We start from the raw sequence: 24,152 nt of genomic DNA on the forward strand, positions 1-24,152 counted from the left end.
CGGCCTCCCATAGTGCTGGGATTACAGGCATAAGCCACTGCACCCAGCCAAGTTCTGGTTACTTTTATTAGAGAATAGTATTTAGAAACCAAGATCCAGGCCAGGCGCAGTGGCTCATGCCTGTAATCCCAGCACTTTGGGAGGCCGAGGTGGGCGGATCAGGAGGTCAAGAGATCCAGACCATCCTGGCAAACATGGTGAAACCCTGTCTCTACTAAAAATACAAAAATTAATTAGCTGAGCGTGGTGGTGTGCACCTGTAGTCCCAGGTACTCAGGAGGCTGAGGCATGAGAATTACTTGAACCTGGGAGGCAGAGGTTGCAATGAGCCAGGATCGTGCCACTGCACTCCAGCTTGGCAACAGAGTGAGACTCCATCTCAAAAAAAAAAAAAAAAAAAAAAGGAAACCAAGATCCAGGTGCTAAATGTGCTCATTGCTACTGGGGTTTCACAGCCTTTAGTCCCTCTCTGGATAGAACTAGGGAAATTGTATGTATATGTACCAACTCATGTGTATACACTATCCTGTCTGTCTGTCTGTCTACCTACCTATCCACCCACCCACCTACCTACCTACCTACCTATCTAACTATCTTATTTGTCTGTCTGTCTGCCTGTCTATCAAAAACTGTAAGTTTATACTCATACCTGACTCCAAGCCATCACCAATGGGTTCATTCCAGAATTTTCCCTTCCCTTACTTATAACTTCTTTCTTTTGGGGGTGAGAAACTTGGCTCTCATTATCTACAATATATTTATGTATTTGTTCAACCTTACTATACATATACAAAGTTACTTAAGCCAGTTCCTTTTTCCCTACTCACTTCAGTTGGTCTGTCATGGTTTCGTAATGCAGTCAGATTAATTTGTCATAGTCTGCATTCTGTTCTCCTCCCCTTCTCTCCCTCCCTCCCCCCGTTCTGTTTTTTTTTTAATTTACATACAGTAAAATTTACACTATCTGGTATACAGTTTTGTGGGTTTTGACAAACACATAGCCATTTGTCTGTCATCATAGTTACACAGTTCTGTACACAAGAGTTCCATCACCCCCAAAATTCCTTCATGCTGCCCCTTTGTAGTCAACCCCTACCATACACCCCATTCCCTAGCAACCACTGATATGTTTTTCATCCCTACAGTTGTACCTTTTCTAGACTGTCATATAAATCAAATCATACAGCATACAGCTTTTTTTTTAAGTCTGGCTTCTCTCACTTGGCAGCATGTTTTTATTTTGCTGTTATTGGGCAGAGTGTTTTATAAATATCAGTTAGATCTAGTTGGTTGTATTGTTCAAGTCTGGGTCTTCTGTATTTACTCATTTCTGTCTGCTCGTTTCTAGGAATTACTGAGAGAATAGTCTTGAACTCTGAAAGTCTAGTTGTGGATTTCTATTTCTCCTTTTAGTTCTATCAGGTTTTACCTCATGTATCTTAAAGTTCTGTTGGTAGATGCATACCCATTTGGGAATGTGTTATGTCTTCTTAGAGAACTAGCCCCTTTATTATTATTATTATATTTTTTAAATCTCTGATAATGTCCCTTGTTCTGAAGTCTTTCTTTTCTGATATTGATGTACCTACTCCAACCTTCTGTTAGTGCTTGCATGGTATATTTTTTTCCATCCTTTTAATTTATCTATGTCTTTAGATTTAAAGTAAGTTTCTTGTAGACGGTATATAGTTCAGTCTTTTTTATTCATTCTGACATTTTGTCTTTTAATTGGTGGATTTAGACCATTCTCGTTTAATATGATTATTATTATGGTTAGATTAAAATCTACCACCTTGTCGTGTTTTGTATTTGACCCATCTATTCTGCTTCTTTTTCCTTTTTCTGCCTTCTCTTGGGTCCATTGACCATTTGTTATTACTTTGTTTTATCTCTCCTACTGACTTATTATTTGTATCCATTAAATTCTTTCAGTGGTTGCCTTAGGTTAGGGTTTGTCAGCCTTGCCTTTATTGGCGTCCACATAACTGTTGTGGGGGATTGTTTTATGCATTACAGGAAGTTTAGCAGTATCCCTGCTCTCTACCCACCAGAGTCCCAGTATCACCCCCATCTCCCCAGTTATGACAACCAAAAAATGCCTCTAATTTTTGGTTGTCACAACTGGGGGAATGGGGGTGATACTCTAATAATCCCCTGGGGGGGCAAATTTGCCCACAGTTGAAAATCAGAGATACAGTTTTCACAGTTTTATTTGTCTAATTTCAGCAGAGAGATGGAAGCTATAAGAGAAAATCAAGTAGGAAATCCTAGCCAATCTTGCATATTGTCTGCCTTTTCCCTTAGAGACCTTGTTTCACTTAATATCATGTTTTCAAGGTTCATCCATTTTGTGGCATGAAACAATTTCTTTTTAAGGCTGAGGCTGGAAACTGGCTCACACCTGTAATCCCAGCACTCAGGGAGGCCAAGGCAAGAAGATTGCTTGAGCCAAGAAGTTAAGACTAGCCTGAGCAACATAGTGAGACTTCATCTCTATAAAAATATAAAATGATATATTAATCATAGTTATTTTAAATGCTTTATAGATAGTTCCAACATCCGTACCATTTGGTTTTATTGATTACTTTGTGTTCTGGTGTAGTGAGCTGGGTATGTTGGCTTTTTCTTGGCTTTTTGTATATTTTACAATTCTTTATTGAAAGCTAGACATCTTACATGGATAGTAGTTGATTTTATGCCTTGAAATGGACACCTTTTTTCTTCTACTTAGGTCTTTAAATGTGGGAGTTTGAGTTAATCTGCTCAGGAGCTGGGCTGGGTTTGAGGTTTATTGTTGCTGTGATTACCCTCAGGGCAGAACAGGCTTCCAGTTTCTCCAGTAAATACTTTGTGTTTAGAGTGTGGAATAGTTTTCCAGAGGGCTTTTCTTAATGCCTGCTCCAATTTCAGTTTTAGGCTGTCCTTTGCATTTCATCTCAGACAGAGAGCCTGTCTTACCCTCTTACAATGCTTTCAGCTGAGCTTTCCTATTTATTCATTCACAGAGGGCATATTTTCCTTTATAATACTGGTCACATTTGTAATAGCTGCTTTTAAGTTCTTTTCTGCCATTTCTAGGACATAGGCCATGTTCAGGTAGGTTTCCATTTCTTTTGAGTATGGCTCACTTTCTTTTTTCTTTGTACATCTAGTAATTTTGAGTTGTGTCTTGGGTGTAAGGATCACATATTGTAGAGGTGTTTTGTTTTTTTTGGTTTTTTTTTTTTTTTTTGAGGCAGAGTCTCACTCTGTCACCCAGGTTGGAGTGCAGTGGTGTGATCCTCACTCACTGCAGTCTCGACTTCCTGGGCTCAAGCTGTCCTCCCACGTCAGTCCCCCAAGTAGCTAGGGCTACAGGTGTGCACCACCATGTCCGGCTAATGTTTTTGTAGAGGTGGGGTCTTGCTGTGTTGCCCAGGCTGGTCTTAAACTCCTGGGCTCATGCTCCTCCTCCTGCGTCAGCTTCCTAGACTATTGGGATTACAGGTGAGAACCATTGCGCCTGGCTGAGAGACTTGATTCTATTATATTCCTCTGCAGAATATTGGTTTTTGTTTTAGCAAGCAGTTAACTTGGCTCACCTCAGACTCCAAACCCTCCCTGCAACTGAAATACCTGTTCAATTATTTTGTCCATAATTCAGCTCTTTGGAGCATGAGTACTTGTGGACTTCAGAAGTCAATGAAGGATTTGGACAGAGTTTGTATACAAACTGTTGGCTCTGTTTTCGTGACTCTCCCTTTCTGGTATTTTCCCCACAGCCTCACTTTCCAACTGCTATGGTTGTCCCAGGATATGTCGTCTAGTTCTTCAAGACAGTAAGACTGGGTTTTCGACCAAATTTTAACTGCCCCACTTGGCCTCAATCACCAAAGCTTCTATTTTAAAATCTATTTACCTATAAGTTTGATTTGGGAAACAATAAAGGGAAAACTACCTGTAACTATTTATTTCTACAATTAGAATTAACTAGCAGACCTAGCATGCCCATGTTATGTATCTGTCTGAAGTAATCAGAATGTATCTCTGTTTACGTTTATCCACTTATCTGACCCCTGGATCTCCTCCTCTTGGACTTTGTCAGATGCTGTTAACCTTATGCTCTTGATGGTTTATTTCCTTCTCCTGTATCTTCAACTTTACCCTCTTTACCGGCGAGCTCCTTTCTGTCATTTAAAAATACATCTTTCCTTTGTTAAGAAAAAAAAACTATCCTCCCTCTGTTGCCCACCAGCTACTATACTTTCTTCCTTACTCTTGCTCAGTTTCTCTCCACATCTTTCCTATCTCCCACTCCCTTCTCAGCACATTCTAATCTTACTTTTGTCCCCACCAGTGTATTAATTGCTCTGACCAAGATTACCAGTAACCTCCATGTCACCGAGTGCACTCCCACGCCATCACCTGTGTGCTTACAGTTTCGAAACAAAATATTCACATCAGACTTTTCTTCTGCACTCTCTCTCTCATTGCCTGGTCCACATCTTTCCCTGGGTATCTCAAAGGGTTCTCAAATTAAATGTGTTCACGTCTCTTCCTTCCATAATCCTCCTCACCTTTCTTACCTCTGTATGTGGTACCTCCTTCCTTTTTACCTTCATATCCATCTGTCGGCAAGTCTGTTGATTCTGCTGCATCAAAGAGCCCTTGAATCTGTGTCCCTCACATTGGCTCCCCTTTGCCAACTAGATAAAGTCCAAACGCCTTACCCTGGAGTTTGCCTGCGTGACTCTCGCTTGCCTGAGCTGGCCCCTCTGGCCTACCTTTGAAGGCTTACCTCACTCTGCTCTTCCCCTCCCACTGAACATCACCACAGTGTCCTAGATTTCTTTGGGGGTATACTAAGCACTCAGTTGGGAACACTCTTTTTCTTCTAAGCTCTCCTTTGCCTGCATAAAGACTATTAATTATCCTTCTAATCTCAACTTTGCTGTCATTTCCTGAGGAGGCCTTTCCTGTTCTCCCCTCAAGACCAGGTCACATTGCCTGCTGTGTTCCCAGAACCCCTGGTACTTGTTTTTTCTTAGCATCCCTCACTCGTAATGACTTTTTGAATGCTTGCTTCTACTCTAGACCCCAAGTTCCATGAGAGCAAGTTTCCTGTCTGCTTTCTTTTTTTCTCTGACCTTTGCACCAAGCCAAGTGCCTGGCAAGTAGTGGACACCTAAATGATTTTTGTTTAATGAATGGATTAAGACAAGAATAGCTTTACATGGCAATAGAATAGAATCTGTTACTGTAAACATAATATCTCCTGCCTGCTACACTCAATTGTAATACACTAATCTTATTTCCTGAAGAGGGATAAACCAACAGTTTGACATGAACATTTAAGCCAGCCTACTTAGTAGAGTAGTAAATGGACCTGTGTTCTTACTGTGACAAGTGCCTCTGGGCAGATTTGATTCTCACAGTGGAAATACTTCATGAAATGGCAGCAGCCTGGATTGTGGCTGTTAAAATTTAACACAAATAATTTTTAAAACAATACCCTATTTGGGTTCTCAGTGCGTTTTTGTGTATTTTCAGAAAGTAAGTGTGAGGCTGTGACAGGGACAGTCTGTCAGATTGAGGCAGACTTGGATCCTTAACCATGCAGTAAGAAACAGACTCAGCCAGCGTTGGGCACATGTATCAGCAATACATTTCATGAACTTTTTTTTTTTGCAATTGTGCTTATAGTGTGTATTGTAAAAGAGAAAATTAAGATAACTTAGACAGTTTTCATGTAGGGAATGACCAGGGCTTATGCCTGTGTCCATAGCAAGCACCTTGTTTTGATTTATTTGTCTTTTCAACCTTCGTTTTCACTTTCTTAGCTTGCTGTGTTCTTCTTTGGGAGACTAAAATTTTTTAGGGAAATAACCATGGTGTCAAAATTATAGAATGGAAAATTTGATTAAATGTAAAACATTGATCTTTGTTTCCTACTATTTCCATGTTCTTTTGCCTTTGTTTTGTCTGTCAGATTTTGGGCATAATATACTCTTCCTTTACGGGTAAATGCCAACTGCCAACAGAGTTCAGAATTCTGTGATGCTTGCTTATGGGTTGTTTACACAGAGATGATGTTTGTTCAAGATAAGAACACTGTAGGGACTCTTTAAGCTATATACATCCCATCTTTATTAAGCTCATCCTTCCACTCCCCTAGGCCTCCAAAGTAGCAAATAATTATAACCAAATGTTCCTCATACCCTTAGAAAATAAATTTTAGCCAGACTTGGTGGCTCATGCCTGTAATCCCAGCACTTTGGGAGGCCAAGATGGGAGGATTGCTTTAGCTTAGGAGTTCAAGATTAGCCTGGGCAAGATAGTGAGACCTCATCTCTGCAAAAAACTAGCCAGAAGTGATGGTGCATACCTATAGTCCCAGCCCTTCAAGAGGCTGAGGTGGAGGATCACTTGAGCCTGAGAAGTCAAGGTGGCAGTGAGCCAAGATCACACCACTGCACTCTAGCCTGGGCAACAGAGCAAGGTCCTGTCTTAGAAATAAATAAATAAATAAAAAATAAAAAGAGGCTGGGTGAAATGGCTCACTCCTGTAATCCCAGCACTTTGGCCAACATGGCAAAACCCTGTCTCTACTGAAAATACAGAAACAAGCCTGGTGTGGTGGCAGGCACCTGTAATCCCAGCTACTCAGGAGGCTGAGACGGGAGAATCGCTTGAACCCAGGAGGCTCAAGAGTTTGAGACCAGCCTGGGCAACATGGTGAAACCTTGTCTCTACAAAAAATACAAAAATTAGTCAGGTGTGGTGGCTCACACCTGTAGTCCCAGGTACTTGGGAGGCTGAGGCAGGAGGATCACTTGAGCCTGGGAGGCAGAGGTTGCAGCGAGCCAAGATTGCACCACTGCACTTCAGCCTGGACAATAGAGAGAAATCCTGTTCCCCCCTCTCCTGCCCCCTCCAAAAAAACAAAAAACGAGAGAGAGAGAAAGAAGAAGAAGAGGAAGAGGAAGGAGGAGAAGGAGGAGGAAAAAGAAGAAAAAAGAAGAGAAAAGAAAAGAAATTTTGGAGTGCAGAATATATGTTATCCTTAAGAGATAGCATGATATGCCATTACTTTTGACATCATTATATTTTTAGGAGGGATCATGTTTAAATTGTCAGTTCTTAAAAAGGATTGGTGGACATTCTTGGCTGAGAGTCTTCATTACATACAAGGTTTGGTGTTTTTCTTAGCCCAGTCACACACCAGCCCGTGACCAGAAAGAACAATTCTGGTTGTCCTTGTGACTGCCTCTCTGTGTCCTGGTCTGAAGAGTCTTGTCGGGCTGTAGCCCTAGGTAAGAAGTGTGCAGGAAGAGAGTCAGCAGGACAACTCCGGTCTGTGTTTGGTGGGGGCTGGCAGGGAAGCAGGTCCTGGGGAAGTGATGTTCAACTGAGACCTGAAGGGTGATCAGGTTAGCCAGGATTAGGAGGGAATAGAGGAGGAGGTGAGGGGACAGCTGGTGCCAATGCCCAAGGAACTAAAGGAACTCCCAAGACAGCTTGTGTTTAGAGAACAAGGGAGGAGTAGAACAAGGTGAGGCTGAAAATGGAGATGGTCGAAGCAATATCTGATTGTGTCCTTCCCTGAAGGCTCAAAAATGTTTGATGCTTCCTTGTTGCCCTCAGACTAAAGTCCACATGCCAGGTAATGAAGGTTTTCCTTAATCAGCCTCATCCTCCTTTAAAGCCCCTTTCCCTGCTGTCCTATTTGTTTTCCACATACCCCATGTTTTAGCCATACTTAGCCTTTATTATTCTCTAACTTGAATGTGTTTGTACCTTTCTCTGACTGTTGTTGGCTAAAATCTAGTTCCCCACCTCTTTTCAGTAAGGCCCAGCTTAATGTCATTGGTTTTTTCGAAGCCTACCCTGCTGCCTGAAATCAAAGAGAATGTCTTCTCTGTGGTTTGATAATACTTTTGTCATTCTGTTACTCTAATTATCCCATCCTGACTTGTCTGTGGTTGTATATATTAATGTGTGTAGCTTCCACACTAACTGTAGGCACATGAAAGCAAAGCTTTCATTTAGTTTGTAGCGTAGACCTAGTTGCAGTAGAGGATCTTTGAATTTTGGTGGAATTGCATCAAACAGGTAAGTGGCAGCCCAGGATTCAGAAGTATTCGTCTGTGTGGGGCGTCTCATTCCTAGAGATAAAACATTGAATGGAATGTTCTACTGTGTTCTGTGTATACGTGAGTTGTTTTGGATAAACAGACTATGGGAAATTGTTGAAGTTCCCTGGATTGGGAAGAAGGATGAGCTTCAAGGCTGAAAGGAGTAAAACTCACCTTCTTTGTACCTTTATTACTTTAAAGTTCAGCATCAGATTTCTTTATTGGGATTCTTTCTACTTTGTACAGAGCATCTGTTAAGAACATCTTCAGCCAGCCGGCCTGCTTCCCTGCCAAGAGTGCCTGCGATGGAAAGTGCCAAGACCCTCTCAGGTGATGACTTTCATCTGAATTTTTGTTGTATTTGTTGTTTTTTAGAGACAGGATCTCACTATGTTGCCCAGGCTGATCTCAAACTCCTGGCCTCAAGCTATGCTCTCACTGGCCTCAAGCTGTCCTCTCACCTTGGCCTTCCAAAGTGCTGGGATTACAGGTGTGAGCCACTGTGCCCGGCCTAGCTGGGCTTTAAATCAATTGGAAGTCCTGTGCTCAGCTAAAATTACCATCCCAAAGCCTTTTTCTGTGTGTGTGTTCTTCAGATTCTTTCTCAGTCTGTTTCCTCTATTTTGTATAAAGTTCTGAGAGGTTTTCTCATCCAGTTTCCTAGCACACCACTTAAAAGAAACTACTGATTTAAGGACTATAAAGAATTGACATTGAACGAAAAAGACATAATTATAAAATTATGCTAGAAATATATAAGCATGTCATTTAAAGATCATATAACAGGAGAAAATATTTGTGCCCTCTGGATCTTTAAGGGCATTGCTTTACTAATGCAGAGTTACATTCTGCTTGTGGTTATCCTAAAATCATTGAGAAAATTTTAGCCAGTAAAGTGGGCGGTGGGGGTGGGGGTGGGGGTGGGAGTGGGGGCAGCAGTTTTTAGTAATCAGGGGAAAACAATTACTGACATGTAACATGGATTGCATTAAATCAGCCCAGGAATGATAGAGTTAATGGCGCCTGCAGATCCACCTTCTTCTGAGGTGAGAAAGAATCTGAGGTCAGGAACTTTGTCGACTATGTGACTTGTCACTGTGCTCAGCCCTGCGTTCTGATTACCTGGCAATACTCAGTGCTGCCTTTAGAAAGCTGCTGTTGTGGATCTGGTACCAGTGGCTAAAGTGCCTACTCCCACTGAACAGTTCTCAGAACATTTTGTAATTCTAATGAGGTAGTACAGTGGCTTACTATGCCAGACTTCAGAATAGGACTTTTGCAAAAGATTGTTGCTATTTCCCAACAGTTGACTTGATACGTTTTGGTTTTCTGTCTTATTGATTTAGTTTTTTAAAATGTGCCCTGAGGCCAGTTGCGGTGGCTCATGCCTGTAATCCCAGCACTTTGGGATGCCTAGGTGGGCGGATCACCTGAGGTCAGGAGTTCGAGACCAGCCTGGCCAACATGGCAAAACCGTGTGTCTACTGAAAATACAAAAATAAGCCTGGCATGGTGGCAGGCGCCTGTAATCCCAGCTAGTCAGGAGGCTGAGGCAGGAGAATCACTTGAACCCAGGAGGCAGAAGTTGCAGTAAGCCGAGATGCGCCACTGCACTCCAGCCTGGGTGACAGAATGAGACTCCCTCTCAAAAAAAAAAAAAAAAAAAGTGCCCTGAGCTAGCATTGCATGTAGCCCTGTAATAAAGCATGTCTTTCCTTTCTGTCCCTTTAACAGTGTTTTTGGCTGAATTTAGAAGGGTTGTATTGATTTGAATTGTGTGTGTTGGGCAGAGCTGAGTAGTTACAAGTCTGATTATAATTAGCCTTTGGTTTTTAGTTATATTTGTAATTAAACAGATGTTTATGTAGTACTCACTATGTGCTTGGTAGGTACTGTGAGGGTTATAGAGATGGATAAGGCACACTCCTTGTCTATAAGGAATATGGAGTTCAGTGCATATTTCAACTATGCCTTTTCACAGTTTTTTTGTTTGTTTGTTTTTTGTTTTTGAGATGGAGTCTCTCTCTGTCGCCCAGGCTGGAGTGCAGAGTGGCGCAGTCTTGGCTTACTGCAACCTCCACCACCCGGGTTTAAGCAATTCTCCTGCCCCAGCCTCCCATGTAGCTGGGATTACAGGCATGCACCACCATGCCTGGCTAATTTTTGTATTTTTAGTAGAGACAGGATTTCACCATGTTGGCCAGGCTGGTCTGGAACTCCTGACCTCAAGTGGTCTGCCTGCCTCGGCCTCCCAAAGTTCTGGGATTATAGGCGTGAGCCACTGCACCTGGCCTCACAGTTTTTTTAATGGAAAAATAAGAAATACTTTCCAGTTATCAATATTAGTTTTTCCTCCTGTATGGTAATATCTGTTGTTTTTGGAATCTTCAGAAAAAAAAAATCTCAAGAACTCAGTCTAAAATGTTTTTGCTATAGAGTGCATAATGACTATTTCTCACAGTGTCTCGACGAAGTAGTGAAGAAGTGAAACGGGACATTTCTGCACAGGAGGGAGCGTCGCCAGCCTCTCTGATGGCTATGGGAACCACGTCTCCACAGCTTTCCCTGTCCTCTTCTCCAACGGCATCTGTGACTCCCACCACCCGAAGCCGAATAAGGTAGAGAACAGTTAATATTCATGCATTTCGTGTGTACCTTTCCTGGCCTTTTGACAGTAAATGATCAAGTTGTAAAATGATGGCATTTGAGCACTGTGATTTTTCTTTTTCTGTGTGTTGTTTGCGAATCTTTCTTATATCCAGAATTGAGTAAATGGTATAGAAGACACTGACAAATTAAAAATGATAGTTCCTTTCCTCAAGCAGCTGTATCTTTTTTTTTTTTTTTTTAGAGAATGGTTGCATGCAAAACGAAGTATTATGAAATTTAAATACCGAGGAATGGGTGGAGTGTTAGGGAAGGCATCCCAGAAGGTTAGAATTTGAGTGGGGCCTCGAAGGTTGTAGACAGGGAGGGTGGGGGGCATGATTGGCAAGGTCAGTAACTTGAGGGGATGCACCAAAGGGATTAGTAAGTGAGGAGTATGGAGGGGGATGCTGTAGGTAGGTGGTTCTATAGATTCAGTAGACTGATACAGAAGGCCAGAAGAAGGTGTACCTACCATATCAAGGAACAGTAGAAGAAAAGATTGACTAGGCAGGGGATGGCAAAGTGATGGAACTTTTCTTTTTTTTTTTTGAGATGGAGCCTCGCTGTCGCCCAGGTTGGAGTGCAGTGGCGCGATCTCGGCTCACTGCAGGCTCCGCCCCCTGGGGTTCATGCCATTCTCTTGCCTCAGCCTCCCGAGTAGCTGGGACTACAGGCGCCTGCCACCTCGCCCGGCTAATTTTTTGTGTTTTTAGTAGAGATGGGGTTTCACCGTGTTAGCCAGGATGGTCTCGATCTCCTGACCTCGTGATCCACCCGCCTCGGCCTCCCAAAGTGCTGGGATTACAGGTGTGAGCCACCGTGCCTGGCCTGGAACTTCTTTAAAGTCAAATTGAGTCACTTTGATGTAGTAGAAGCTATAAAGTGATGTAAATAAATTATCATGTCTGGATCAGTGTGATAACAGTGGAAAAGAGGTGAAGAGAGGGTTGGACCCAGATTTTTCATAAAGAAAGGTGATTTCAGTAACAGATCTTTATAAAAGGAATGCAAGAATGGATGATATCAAAGATGGCTGTGTTTGTTTACACTGGGAGTCTGGGAACGTGGTGCTACATTAATAATTGATAAAAAGTACATGAAAATCTAAGTTTATATTTTATTCATAGTTCTCTTAGGACTAAGAGGTATTAAGAACTTGGGGGAAAAACAGATGTCAAAAATTTAGCATACGTTGTTTATAGGGATGAAGAAAATTGTTGGCAAGCATTAAGAATAATTAAAGGAAGCAGCCGGGTGTGGTGGCTCACGTCTGTAATCCCAGCACTCTGGGAGGCCGAGATGGGCAGATCACTTGAGGTCAGCAGTTCGAGATCAGCCTGGCCAACATGGTGAAACCCCATCTGTACTAAAAATACAAAAATTAGCCTGATCTGGTTTTGCGCACCTGCAGTCCCAGCTACGTGGGAGGCTGAGGCCCTAGAATCGCTTGAACCTGGGAGCCAGAGTATGCAGTGAGCGAGATCGTGCGACTGCACTCCAGCCTGGGCTTCAGAGTGAGACTCTGTCTTTAAAAAAGTGACTTTTATGTTGAGCCGTGACAAGTTTTTGTTTGTTTTTTGTTTTTGATGTGCCTTTTTGCATCCATTCACATAACTGTGTCTTTCTCTTTCCCTGTGGTTTAGTGATAGTATAACAAACTTCTTGGAATCCTTTAAAGCAAGCTTCTCCAACCCGCAGCCCAGGACAGCTTTGAATGCGGCCCAACACAAATTTGTAAACTTTCTTAAAATATTATGAGATTTTTTTTTTTGCAATTTTTTTTTAGCTCATCCGCTATTGTTCATGTCAGTGTACTTTATGTGTGGCCCAAGACAATTCTTCTATTTCCATTGTGGCCCAGGGAAGCCAAAAGATTGGACGTCCCTGCTTTATTTAAAGCAAAGCAGGAATGTTACAGGCTGGCACACAAAAATGTATATTTCCTTCAAGGAGGCAGTCTAACTGCACATAGAAAAGTAGTATTTTTCCTTTTGGTTCTTAGAGCAATAAAAATTGGTACTATTTCAAGGCTCCTCTCAATTAGAAAAGCTTCTGTTGTAAATGTGTCCTCTTTGATTTCCTAGCGCACTTTGGAGGGTCAATACTAACAGAATAAATATACTGAGGAATACTAAGCTGCTTGTAACATACGAACCTTTAGGATATTTATTGGGCTGCTAAGTTCACAGAACATGGGACTAGAGTCTCCACTTTGCTATAATCACTGAAAAATAGGCCAGTCTTTTAAGCACAGGCTACTAGTCAAGCTGCCGGTTACATTACACAGCACTCCCTTTCTCTGGGTATTCCTTGGTGTTCTGTTCCACTTCCAGAGTGTGACCAAAAGGGAAGATACGGTGCAGAATGAGTAGAATTGGAAGTCTTCCCTGCCCCTTCACCAGGGGTGATTGCAAAACCTTTTTTGATTAAAGGTCTGGCCTAAGGCAGGATATTTATTTTGACTACAAGGCAGTTGACAATGCCATAAAGTACCCTACATAGAATTTTTAAAAAATGAATCATATGTATAGCCACGGAATTTTAACCCCCCCAAACTTCTACAGTGGTTTTACTTACTATCATATAGTAAACTCTGAAGTTCCTTGGGATAGGGGCCCTGTGTTGTTCACCTTCAATTGCCTACTGCCTGCACATTGCCTGGCACGATGGTGCTCCATAAGGAGATGTTGAATAAGTGAGCTTACAGAGAAATTCCATTTTTGAGCAAGGCAAAATTCTAACTGCCTAAAGTCAAAAAACAGTGTACAACATAGAACTAAATACATCTGAGACATTTCATGGAAGTTACAAATATTGTTCATGTTTATTGCCATCTTTTGTCTGCTTCCCCCCATTGTAGACTTCTTAAAGGCGAGAACTATTATGCCTTAGAATCCTGCACCTTGCATAACCTTACCCTGTATATTTTACAATAAGTAATTTTTTTAAATGATGAGATGGTAAAGGACATAAACGGTTATTTTATTTTATTATTATTATTTGAGACAGTGCCACTCTTGTTGCCCAGGCTGGAGTGCAATGGCGTAATCTCAGCTCACTGCAACCTCCATCTCTAGGGTTCAAGTGATTCTCCTGCCTCAGCCTCCCAAGTAGCTGGGATTACAGACACCCGCCACCATGCCCAGCTAATTTTTATATTTTTATTAGCAATGAGGTGTCACCATGTTGGCCAGGCTGATCTCAAACTCCTGACTTCAGGTGATCTCTCTGCCTCAGGCTCCCAAAGTGTTGGGATTACAGGCGTGAGCCACAGCGCCCGGCACATTTTAATTTTAAATGCACTTTGTACTGTCTTTGCCACTTTCCATGTGGGTGATTTTTATAGAGTCCCTTTCTTCAGTTAGCAAAGAATTCTGACAACAGTGCATCTATGGAGCCATAAACTAAAAATCAAATGTATGAAAAACTATGTCTTGCCTTTGTATTGCCTTACCATGTATATTTCCCCTGTTTAAAAATGCAAACTTTAATACTTTTCTCTTATTCTGGTGCCCAAACAAAAAATATTTCAACTTTGGGTTACTTGTTTTCAGAGAAGAAAGGAAAGACCCTCTCTCAGCATTGGCCAGAGAATATGGAGGATCAAAGAGGAACGCCTTGCTGAAGTGGTGTCAGAAGAAAACAGAAGGCTATCAGGTAATCATATGATTCTTTTGTCCCATGTGAGTAATTGGCAAACCAACTGCTGGAGTGTCGTAGCTTACTACGTGTCACACATTAGAAATGATAAGTCCTGACCTGGCATGGTGGATCACACCTATAATCCTAACACATTGGGAGGCTGAGGCAGATGGATCACTTGTGCCCAGGAGTTCAAGCCTGGGCAACATGGCAAAACCCTGTCTCTACAAAAATAAAAATAATAATAAGCTGGCATGGTGGTGTGTGCCTGGAGTCCCAGCTACTTGAGAGGCTGAGGTGGGAGGATCACTTGAGCCTGGGAGGCAGAGGCTGCTGTGAGCTGATAAAAGAAGAAATGATGAGTCCTATACAAAATGTTAGGAACACATTCTCAAAGTCCAGCCATAACTTGACTATCACTTGGGTGAAATAAGTTTGTTACCTTTCCACAGTACCCAATATTTCCAATATTACTCATCTGTTGTAGCACTTTCTTACTTAAGTCCAGGTTAAATGCTTTTTTTAAGTTACGTTAAATATAACTTTGGAGAGCAGACTCTAATTCTCCATACAAAAGGGAAACCTGTAGAATTCATCCATTCTGCTAAAAAATACAATTTTGATTTCTAGTGTCCTCACATACAGTATTAGTTACAGAGATTCTCCCCAGCTTGCAGCTGGTACTCTTGATTGCATTTCATGCTTTGGCACAAATGCACAGAAGTACAACACAAAAAGGGAATGGAGTTCTATGTTCCTGATCTCTTCACATTAGACTTCATCTCACCAAAATGGCATAAAAGGTGTGGCTACAACATTTGCATACAAATTTCATGCAAAAGAGGTAATAACATTAGTAGAGGAAAAGAAGATCTGCCATTAACAGGTCACTTTTGGATGAATTTGTACATGACTTTAAGTGATGATCCTCAACTCATTTAAGATTAAAGAGCCAAGCATATTGCAGTGGACATACAGAAAAGTCATGATAATCATTGAGGATTTACTAAGACTCTCCATGTCTCAGCTTCAAGCCAGTGGCAAGTAAAAAAGAGAAGAGAAAATAATTTAAAAAAAGAATCTCCATGCCAGCTTCCACTGGCTAACAAAGGAGATAAGTAGTGTTGGCAAAGATGTGGAGAAATGGGCAGGCTTATGTTTTGTTGGAGGGGACCTATAAAATGTTGTAACTGCTGTGGAAAATAGTATGGCAGTTCCTCAAAAAAGTAAACAGAATTACCATATGATCTGGCAGTTCCACTTCTGGAAAATTCCACTTCTAGGAAAGCAGAGACTTGGAGAAATATTTTAGGCACACCCATTTTTGTGGCAGTGTTATTCACAGTAGCCAAAAAGTGGAAGCAACCCAAGTGTCTGTCGATAGAAGAATGGATAAACAACCTGTGGTATATAATACAATGGAATACCATTCTTCCTTAAAAAGGAAGGAAATTCTTACACATGCTACAACACGATGCACACTGAAGACATTGTGCTAAATGAAACAAGCCATATACAAAAGGGCTAATACTACATGATTCTAATTATATGGAATACCTAGAGTTAGTAATATTTATAGAGACAAAAAGTAGAATGATGGTTGCCAGGGGCTGGGGGAGGGAAAAAAGAAAGGGGGTGGGTACACAGTTTAGTTTTACAAAATGAAAAAAGTACTGGAGATGGATGGTGGTGATGGTAGCACAATCATATGAGTATACTTAATGCCACTGAACCGTATAATTAAAGATGGTTAAAATGATTTTTTATGTATATTTACCATGATAATAAAACTCCACTGCAAAAAGAAAAAAAAGAAAGATTGAGATAAGACCAGATAGAAAACCAGCAAGGGAATAGAAGACTTGAATAGTACTGTATACCAACCAGACCTAAAGACATTATACAACACTGCACCCAATAATAGCAGAATACACATTCTTCTCTCAGGTGCACATGGAAGATTGCAGGTTAGGCCATATGTTAGGTCATAAAACTAGTCTCATTAAATTTAAAAAGACTGAAATTGGCCAGATGTGGTGGCTCGTGCCTGTAGTCCCAGTATTTTGTGAGGCCAAGATGAGAGGATCACTTGAGCCCAGTAGTTTGAGACCAGCCTGGGCAGCATCGGGAGGCCCTATCTCTACAAAGATTAAAATGAAATAAATAAAAAGATGGAAAGCATTTAAATTTTCTTCATTTTTTTCTGATCACAATGAAAGATTAGAAATTAGTAGCTGAAGGAAAATTGGAAAATAAGTGAAAATTAAAGCACACACTCTAAATAACCAGTGGGTCAAAAAATTAATCACAAGGGAAATTAGAAAATGCTCTGAGAACAAAAATGAACGCAGCATACCAAAATTTATGGGAGGCAGCGAAAGCAGTTCTCAAGGGGATTGACATTGATTGATTGATTGATTGATTGATCGATTGAGAGACAGAGTCTCATTCTGTCACCCAGGCTGGACTGCAGTGGTGCGACCTTGGTTCACGGCAGGCTCCGGCTCCCGGGCTCAAGTGATTCTTCTGCCTCAGCCTCTCAAGTAGCTGGGATTACAAACGTGTGCTATCATGCCCAGCTAATTTTTGTATTTTAGTAGAGACGAGGTTTCGCCATGTTGGCCAGGCTGGTCTTGAATTCCTTACCTCAGGTAATCTGCCTGCCTCAGCCTCCGAAACTGCTGGGATTACAAGCATGAGCCACCGCGCCCGGTCTCAAAGGGAAATTTATAAACACCCACCTTTACAAAGAGGAAAGATCTCAAAGCAGTAATCTAAGTTTCTTCCTTAAGGAAGTAGACCAATAACAGGCTCTGAAATTGAGGCAATAATTAATAGCTTACCAACCAAAAAAAGTCCAAGACCAGATGGATTCACGGCCGAATTCTACCAGAGGTACAAGGAGGAGCTGGTACCATTCATTCCGAAATTATTCCAATCAATAGAAAAAGAGGGAATACTCCCTAACTCGTTTTATGAGGCCAGCATCATCCTGATACCAAAGCCTGGCAGAGACACAACAAAAAAAGAGAATTTTAGATCAATATCCCTGATGAACATTGATGCAAAAATCCTCAATAAAATACTGGCAAACGAAATCCAGCTGCTGCTGGATCCACCATGATCATGTGGGCTTCATCCCTGGGATGCAAGGCTGGTTCAACATACGCAAATCAATAAATGTAATCCAGCATATAAACAGAACCAGTGACAAAAACCATATGATTATCTCAATAGATGCAGAAAAGGCCTTTGACAAAATTCAACAACACTTCATGCTAAAAACTCTCAATAAATTAGGTATTGATGGGACGTATCTCAAAATAATAAGAGCTATCTATGGCAAACCCACAGCCAATATCATACTGAATGGGTAAAAACTGGAAGCGTTCCCTTTGAAAACTGGCACAAGACAGGGATGCCCTCTCTCACCACTCCTATTCAACATAGTGTTGGAAGTTCTGGCCAGGGCAGTCAGGCAGGAGAAAGAAATAAAGAGTATTCAGTTAGGAAAAGAGGAAGTCAAATTGTCCCTGTTTGCAGATGACATGATTATATATCTAGAAAACTCCATCATCTCAGCCCAGAATCTCCTTAAGCTGATAGGCAACTTCAGCAAAGTCTCAGGATACAAAATCAATGTGCAAAAATCACAAGCATTCTTATACACCAATATCAGACAAACTGAGAGCCAAATCATGAGTGAACTCCCATTCACAATTGCTTCAAAGAGAATAAAATACCTAGGAATGCAACTTATAAGGGACATGAAGGACCTCTTCAAGGAGAACTACAAACCACTGCTCAATGAAATAAAAGAGGATACAAACAAATGGAAGAACGTTCCATGCTCATGGGTAGGAAGAATCAATATCATGAAAATGGCCATACTGCCCAAGGTAATTTATAGATTCAGTGCCATCCCCATCAAGCTACCAATGACTTTCTTCACAGAATTGGAAAAAACTACTTTAAAGTTCATATGGAACCAAAAAAGGCCTGCATTGCCAAGTCAATCCTAAGCCAAAAGAACAAAGCTGGAGGCATCACACTACCTGACTTCAAACTATACTACAAGGCTACAGTAACCAAAACAGCATGGTACTGGTACCAAAATAGAGATATAGACCAATGGAACAGAACAGAGCCCTCAGAAATAATGCTGCATATCTACAACCATCTGATCTTTGACAGACCTGACAAAAACAAGAAATGGGGAAAGGATTCCCTATTTAATAAATGGTGCTGGGAAAACTGGCTAGCCATATGTAGAAAGCTGAAACTGCATCCCTTCCTTACACTTTATGCAAAAATTAATTCAAGATGGATTAAAGACTTAAATGTTAGACCTAAAACCATAAAAACCCTAGAAGAAAACCTAGGCAATACCATTCAGGACATAGGCATGGGCAAGGACTTCATGTTTAAAACACCAAAAGCAATGGCAACAAAAGCGAAAATTGACAAATGGGATCTAATTAAACTAAAGAGCTTCTGCACAGCAAAAGAAACTACCATCAGAGTGAACAGGCAACCTACAGAATGGGAGAAAATTTTCGCAATCTACTCATGTGACAAAGGGCTAATATCCAGAATCTACAATGAACTCAAACAAATATACAAGAAAAAAAAAATCCCATCAACAAGTGGGCGAAGGATATGAACAGACACTTCTCAAAAGAAGACATTTATGCAGCCAAAAGACACATGAAAAAATGCTCATTATCACTGGCCATCAGAGAAATGCAAATCAAAACCACAATGAGATACCATCTCACACCAGTTAGAATGGCGATCATTAAAAAGTCAGGAAACAACAGGTGCTGGAGAGGATGTGGAGAAATAGGAACACTTTTACACTGTTGGTGGGACTGTAAACTAGTTCAACCATTGTGAAAGTCAGTGTGGCGATTCCTCAGGGATCTAGAACTAGAAATACCATTTGACCCAGCCATCCCATTACTGGGTATATACCCAAAGGATTATAAATCATGCTGCTATAAAGACACATGCACACGTATGTTTATTGCAGCACTATTCACAATAGCAAAGACTTGGAACCAAGCCAAATGCCCAAGAATGATAGACTGGATTAAGAAAATGTGGCACATATACACCATGGAATACTATGCAGCCATAAAAAATGATGAGTTCATGTCCTTTGTAGGGACACGGATGAAGCTGGAAACCATCATTCTCAGCAAACTATCGCAAGGACAAAAAAAAACAAACACTGCATGTTCTCACTCATAGGTGGGAATTGAACAATGAGAACACATGGACACAGGAAGGGGAACATAACACACAGGGGCCTGTTGTGGGGTGGGGGGAGGGGGGAGGGATAGCATTAGGAGATATACCTAATGTTAAATGACGAGTTGATGGGTGCAGCACACCAACATGGCACATGTATACATATGTAACTAACCTGCACCTTGTGCACATGTACCCTAAAACTTAAAGTATAATTTAAAAAAAAAGGAAGTAGAAAAAAGATAAGCTAAACCCAAAATAAGCAGAAGGAAGGAAATAAAGATTAGAGCCAAAATAAATAAAATAGAAAATAGAAAAACAATAGAGAAGATCAATGAAAAAAAAATGGGTTCTTTGAAAAGATAAACAAATTGACAAACCTCTAAGTAGATAGATAAAAAGAAAACGAAGACTAAAGTTACCAAAATCAGGAATAAAGGGACGTTACTAATGACCTTAAGAAATAAAAAGGATTAAAATGGAATACTGTGAACAATGAATGCCAAAAATTGGATAACTTAGATGATATGGACAAATTCCTAGAAACATTAACTATCAAAATGGACTCAAGAAGCAAGAACATCTGGAGAGACAAATAACAACTAATGAGATTGAGTTAGTAATCAAAATACTTCCAGCAAAGAGAAGCCCAGGACCAGATTACTTTACTGGTTAATTCTTCCAAATTTTAAAAGAGGAATTAATAGCAATACTTCTCAAACTCTTCCAAAAATCAAAGAAAATATTACTTCCTAACTCATTCTGTGAGGCCATCATTACTCTCATACCAAAAACGGAAAAAGATATTACAAAAAAAGAAAACTGTAAAAGCCCTTGACAAAATAATGACAATATCCAGCAGTATATTAAAGAGGATTATACACCCTGACCAAGTGTTCTTTATCCCAGCAATGCAAGGTTGGTTCAACATATGAAAATGAATTAATACTGTAATACCATATTATTAGAATAAAGGGGAAAAAACCGCATGATCATCTCACTAGACACTGTAAAAGCATTTGGTAAAATCCAGCAGCCATTTATGATTTTAAAAACTAGGAATAAAAGGTAATTTTCTCAATCTAATAAAGGGTACCTATGAAAACCCACAGTTGGCTGGGCACAGTGGCTTATGCCTGTAATCCCAGTACTTTGGGAGGCCAAGGCGGGTGATCAGTTGAGGCCAGGAGTTCAAGACCAGCCTAGGCAACATGCAAAACTCCATCTTTACTAATACAAAAACTAGCCAGGTGTAGTGGCACACACCTGTAATGCCAGCTACTTGGGAGGCTGAGACATGAGAATGACTTGAACCTGCGAGGTGGAGGTTGCAGTGAGCTGATAACACACCACTGCACTCCAGCCTGGGTGACAGAGTGAGACTCTGTCTCAAAACAAACAAACAAACAAACAAAAAAAACAAAAAAAACCCACAGTTTTAACATTATACTTAATGGTGAAGACTGAAAGCTTTCCCCTTAAGATCAGGAACAAGAAAGAATGTCGTTTATCACCATTTCTATTCAACATTTTTCTGCAAGTTCTAGCTAAGACAGACAAGAAAAAAGGAAAGAAAAGGCATCCAGATAGGAAAAAAAGTAAAATGATCTCTATTTGCAGATGATGTGATTTATGTCTAGATTTTTTTAAGAGATAGGGTCTCACTATGTTGCCCAGTCTAGGTTCAGACTTCTGGGCTCAAGTGGTCCTCCCACTTCCAACATCGTGAGTAGCTGGGACTACAGGTGTAGGCCATCACATCCAGCTTATATCTAGAAAACCTTTAAGAATTCACATAAAAACTGTTGGAACTAGTAAATCCAGAAAAGTTGAAGATGCAAGATCAGTATACAAAACTCACTTGCATTTACATATAGTAACAGTAAATTAAAACATTCCATTTATAGCAGCATCAAAAAGAATAAACTATTTAGGAATAAATTTAACCAAGGAGGCACAAGTCTAATACACTGAAAAATACAAAACATTGCTGAAAGAAATTAAAATCTAAATAAATGGAAAGACATACCTTGTTCATGGATTAGAAGTTCTGATACATGCTGCAACTTGGATGAACTTTGAATATTTTATGCTAAGGGAAAGAAGCCGAACATAAAACTTCAACCTAAAAAGACTTCCACACTCAGGCCTGAAAAGTCTCAAGTTTTGTTGAACGGCAGGAACGTGAATACTGGCAGTTTCAAGTTGGTTGTAGAACTGAAACCTCAAGCATAAGTGAAAATTACACAATCACCTAGTTTTTTTTTTTTCTTAAGAAAGAACTTTTTTTATTGAGATATGCCACACAAGATACAATTCAGCCACTTAAAATGTACATTTCAGTGGGTTTTTGTTTTTTTTTTAAGTGTATTCAGAGTTGTATAACCATTACCACAACCAGTTTTAGGCTATTTTTACCACTCCATAAAGAAATCCTATACCCATTAGCATTCATTCTCTATTTACTATAGGCAACCACTAATCTACTTTCTGTCCTATAGATTTCTTTATTATGGACATTTCCTATAAATGGAATCACACAATATGTGGTCCTCTGTGACTGGCTTCTTTCACTTAGCATCATGTTTTTAAGGTTCATCCATGCTGTAGCATATACTAGTACCTCATTCCTTTTTATGGCCAAACAATATTCCATTGTATGGATATGCCACATATTTATCCATTCTTCTGTTCAAGATGGTGTTTGTGTTGCTTACACTTTTGGGGGGGTTATTATAAATGTCACTGTTAAGAACTTTTTTTTTTCGACATGAGGTCTCACTATGTTTCCCAGGCTGGTCTCAAGTGATCTTCCCACCTCAGCCTCCCAAGTAGCTGGATCTACAGGCACATCCCACCATGCCTGGTTTGTTGTAGACATTTGTGTACAACAAATTTTTACATGGACGTATGTAGTTTTCTCATCTTCTTGTCCATCTTCTAGCCTACTACCAAAGTGTTTTTGAAATTGATCTTGTTACTTCTCTTTAAGCTGCTTCATTTGTTTCCCCTTTGTCATTTGGTTAAAGTCCATGATCTTGGCTTGAAGAGGCAAGACCCCATAGTTTATTGAACATTTTAAGCCCACTCCTTGATCTATGAGCTGCAGAATGGATGTTGTATTAGCAGACAGGAAAACAACATTAATCTCCTCGTATCATCATTAGAGCTCCTGGCTGACTGGTTACATTGTCAATGAGCAGTAATATTTTGAAAGGAACAGTGGGCTTAAAATGTTCGATAACTATGCTGTCAACAGATGTGCTGTCATCCAGGCTTTGTTGTTCCATTTATAGAGCACAGGCAGAGTAGATGTAGCATAACTCTTAAGGGCCCTAGGATTGTGGGACTGGTAAATGAGCATTGGCTTCCACTTAAAGTCACCAGCTGCTTAGGCCCTAATGAGAGAGACAGCCTGTCCTTTGAAGCTTTGAAGCCAGGCATTGACTTCTCCTCTGTAGCTATGAAAGTCCTAGATGTCATCTTCTTTTAATAGAAGGCTGTTTTATCCACATTGAAAATTGTTGTTTAGTGTGGCCACCTTCATCAGTGATCTTAGCTAGATCTTCTGGGTAACTTGCTGCAGCTTCTGTATCAGCACTTGCTAGCTTCGCCTTGCACTTATATGTTATGGAGATGGCTTCTTTCCTTCAATATCATGAGCCAACCTCTGCTAGCTTCAAACTTTTCTTCTGCAGCTTCGTCACCAATCTCAGCATTTATAGAATTGAAGAGAGTTAGGGCCTTGCTGTGGATTCAGCTTTGGCTTAAGGGAATGTTGTAGCTGGTTTGATCTTTTATTCAAAGCACGGAAACTTTCTCCATATCAGCAATAAGGCTGTTTTGCTATCTTATCATTTGTATATTCAGTGGTATAGCACTTTTAATTTCCTTCAAGAACTTTTCCTCTGCATTCACAACTTGGCTAACTGGCACAAGTGGCCTAACTTTCAGCCTTTTGGCTTTTGCCGTGCTTTTCTCAATTAGCTTAAGCATTTCTAGATTTTGATTTAAAGTGAAAGATGTGCGAGTCTTCCTTTTACTTGAACACTTAGAGGCCATTGTAGGGTTATTAATTGGCCTAATTTTAATATTTTTATATCTCAAGGAATAGGGAAGCCCAAGGAGAGGGAGAGAGACAGAATGGCTAGTCAGTGGATCATTCAGAACACACAGAACTTTATAGATTAAGTTCACTGTCTTATATGGGCACAGTTCATGGCACCCCAAAACAATTACTATAGTAACATCAAAGACCACTGGTCATACATCACCATAACAGTTATAATAATAATGAGAAAGTTTAAAATATTGCAAGAATTACCAAACTTGACCCAGAGACATTGAAGTGAGCACATACTGTTGGCAAGATGATACCAACAGACTTGTTTGATACAGGATTGCCACAAACCCTCAATTTGTAAAAAACGCAGGATCCATGAAGCACAAGAAGATGAAGTACCATCTGAGGTGTGTCTGTATTTTCTTCCATGC

The 24,152-nt window shown here is 40.5% G+C and overlaps 1 protein-coding gene and 1 long non-coding RNA gene across 5 annotated transcripts in view; both read left to right on the forward strand.

Annotated features, from left to right (window-relative positions):
- SPECC1L-ADORA2A (SPECC1L-ADORA2A readthrough (NMD candidate)) overlaps positions 1-24,152 on the forward strand; it is a 171,544-nt gene that overhangs the window by 84,084 nt on the left and 63,308 nt on the right. Inside the window, 3 exon segments of the long non-coding RNA NR_103546.1 lie at positions 8,361-8,444; positions 10,576-10,732; positions 14,318-14,420. This is a non-coding gene — a long non-coding RNA (SPECC1L-ADORA2A readthrough (NMD candidate)).
- Positions 1-24,152, forward strand: part of SPECC1L (sperm antigen with calponin homology and coiled-coil domains 1 like) — a 146,908-nt gene that overhangs the window by 84,070 nt on the left and 38,686 nt on the right. For all 4 annotated transcript variants that reach the window (NM_015330.6, NM_001145468.4, NM_001254732.3 and 1 more), the window contains 3 exons: positions 8,361-8,444; positions 10,576-10,732; positions 14,318-14,420. In NM_015330.6, the coding sequence (NP_056145.5) occupies positions 8,361-8,444; positions 10,576-10,732; positions 14,318-14,420 (344 nt within the window). The remainder of the gene's footprint in view (positions 1-8,360; positions 8,445-10,575; positions 10,733-14,317; positions 14,421-24,152) is intronic.

This window comes from Homo sapiens, chromosome 22 (assembly GCF_000001405.40).
Source record: "Homo sapiens chromosome 22, GRCh38.p14 Primary Assembly".
Classification (NCBI taxonomy): Eukaryota; Metazoa; Chordata; class Mammalia; order Primates; family Hominidae; genus Homo; species Homo sapiens.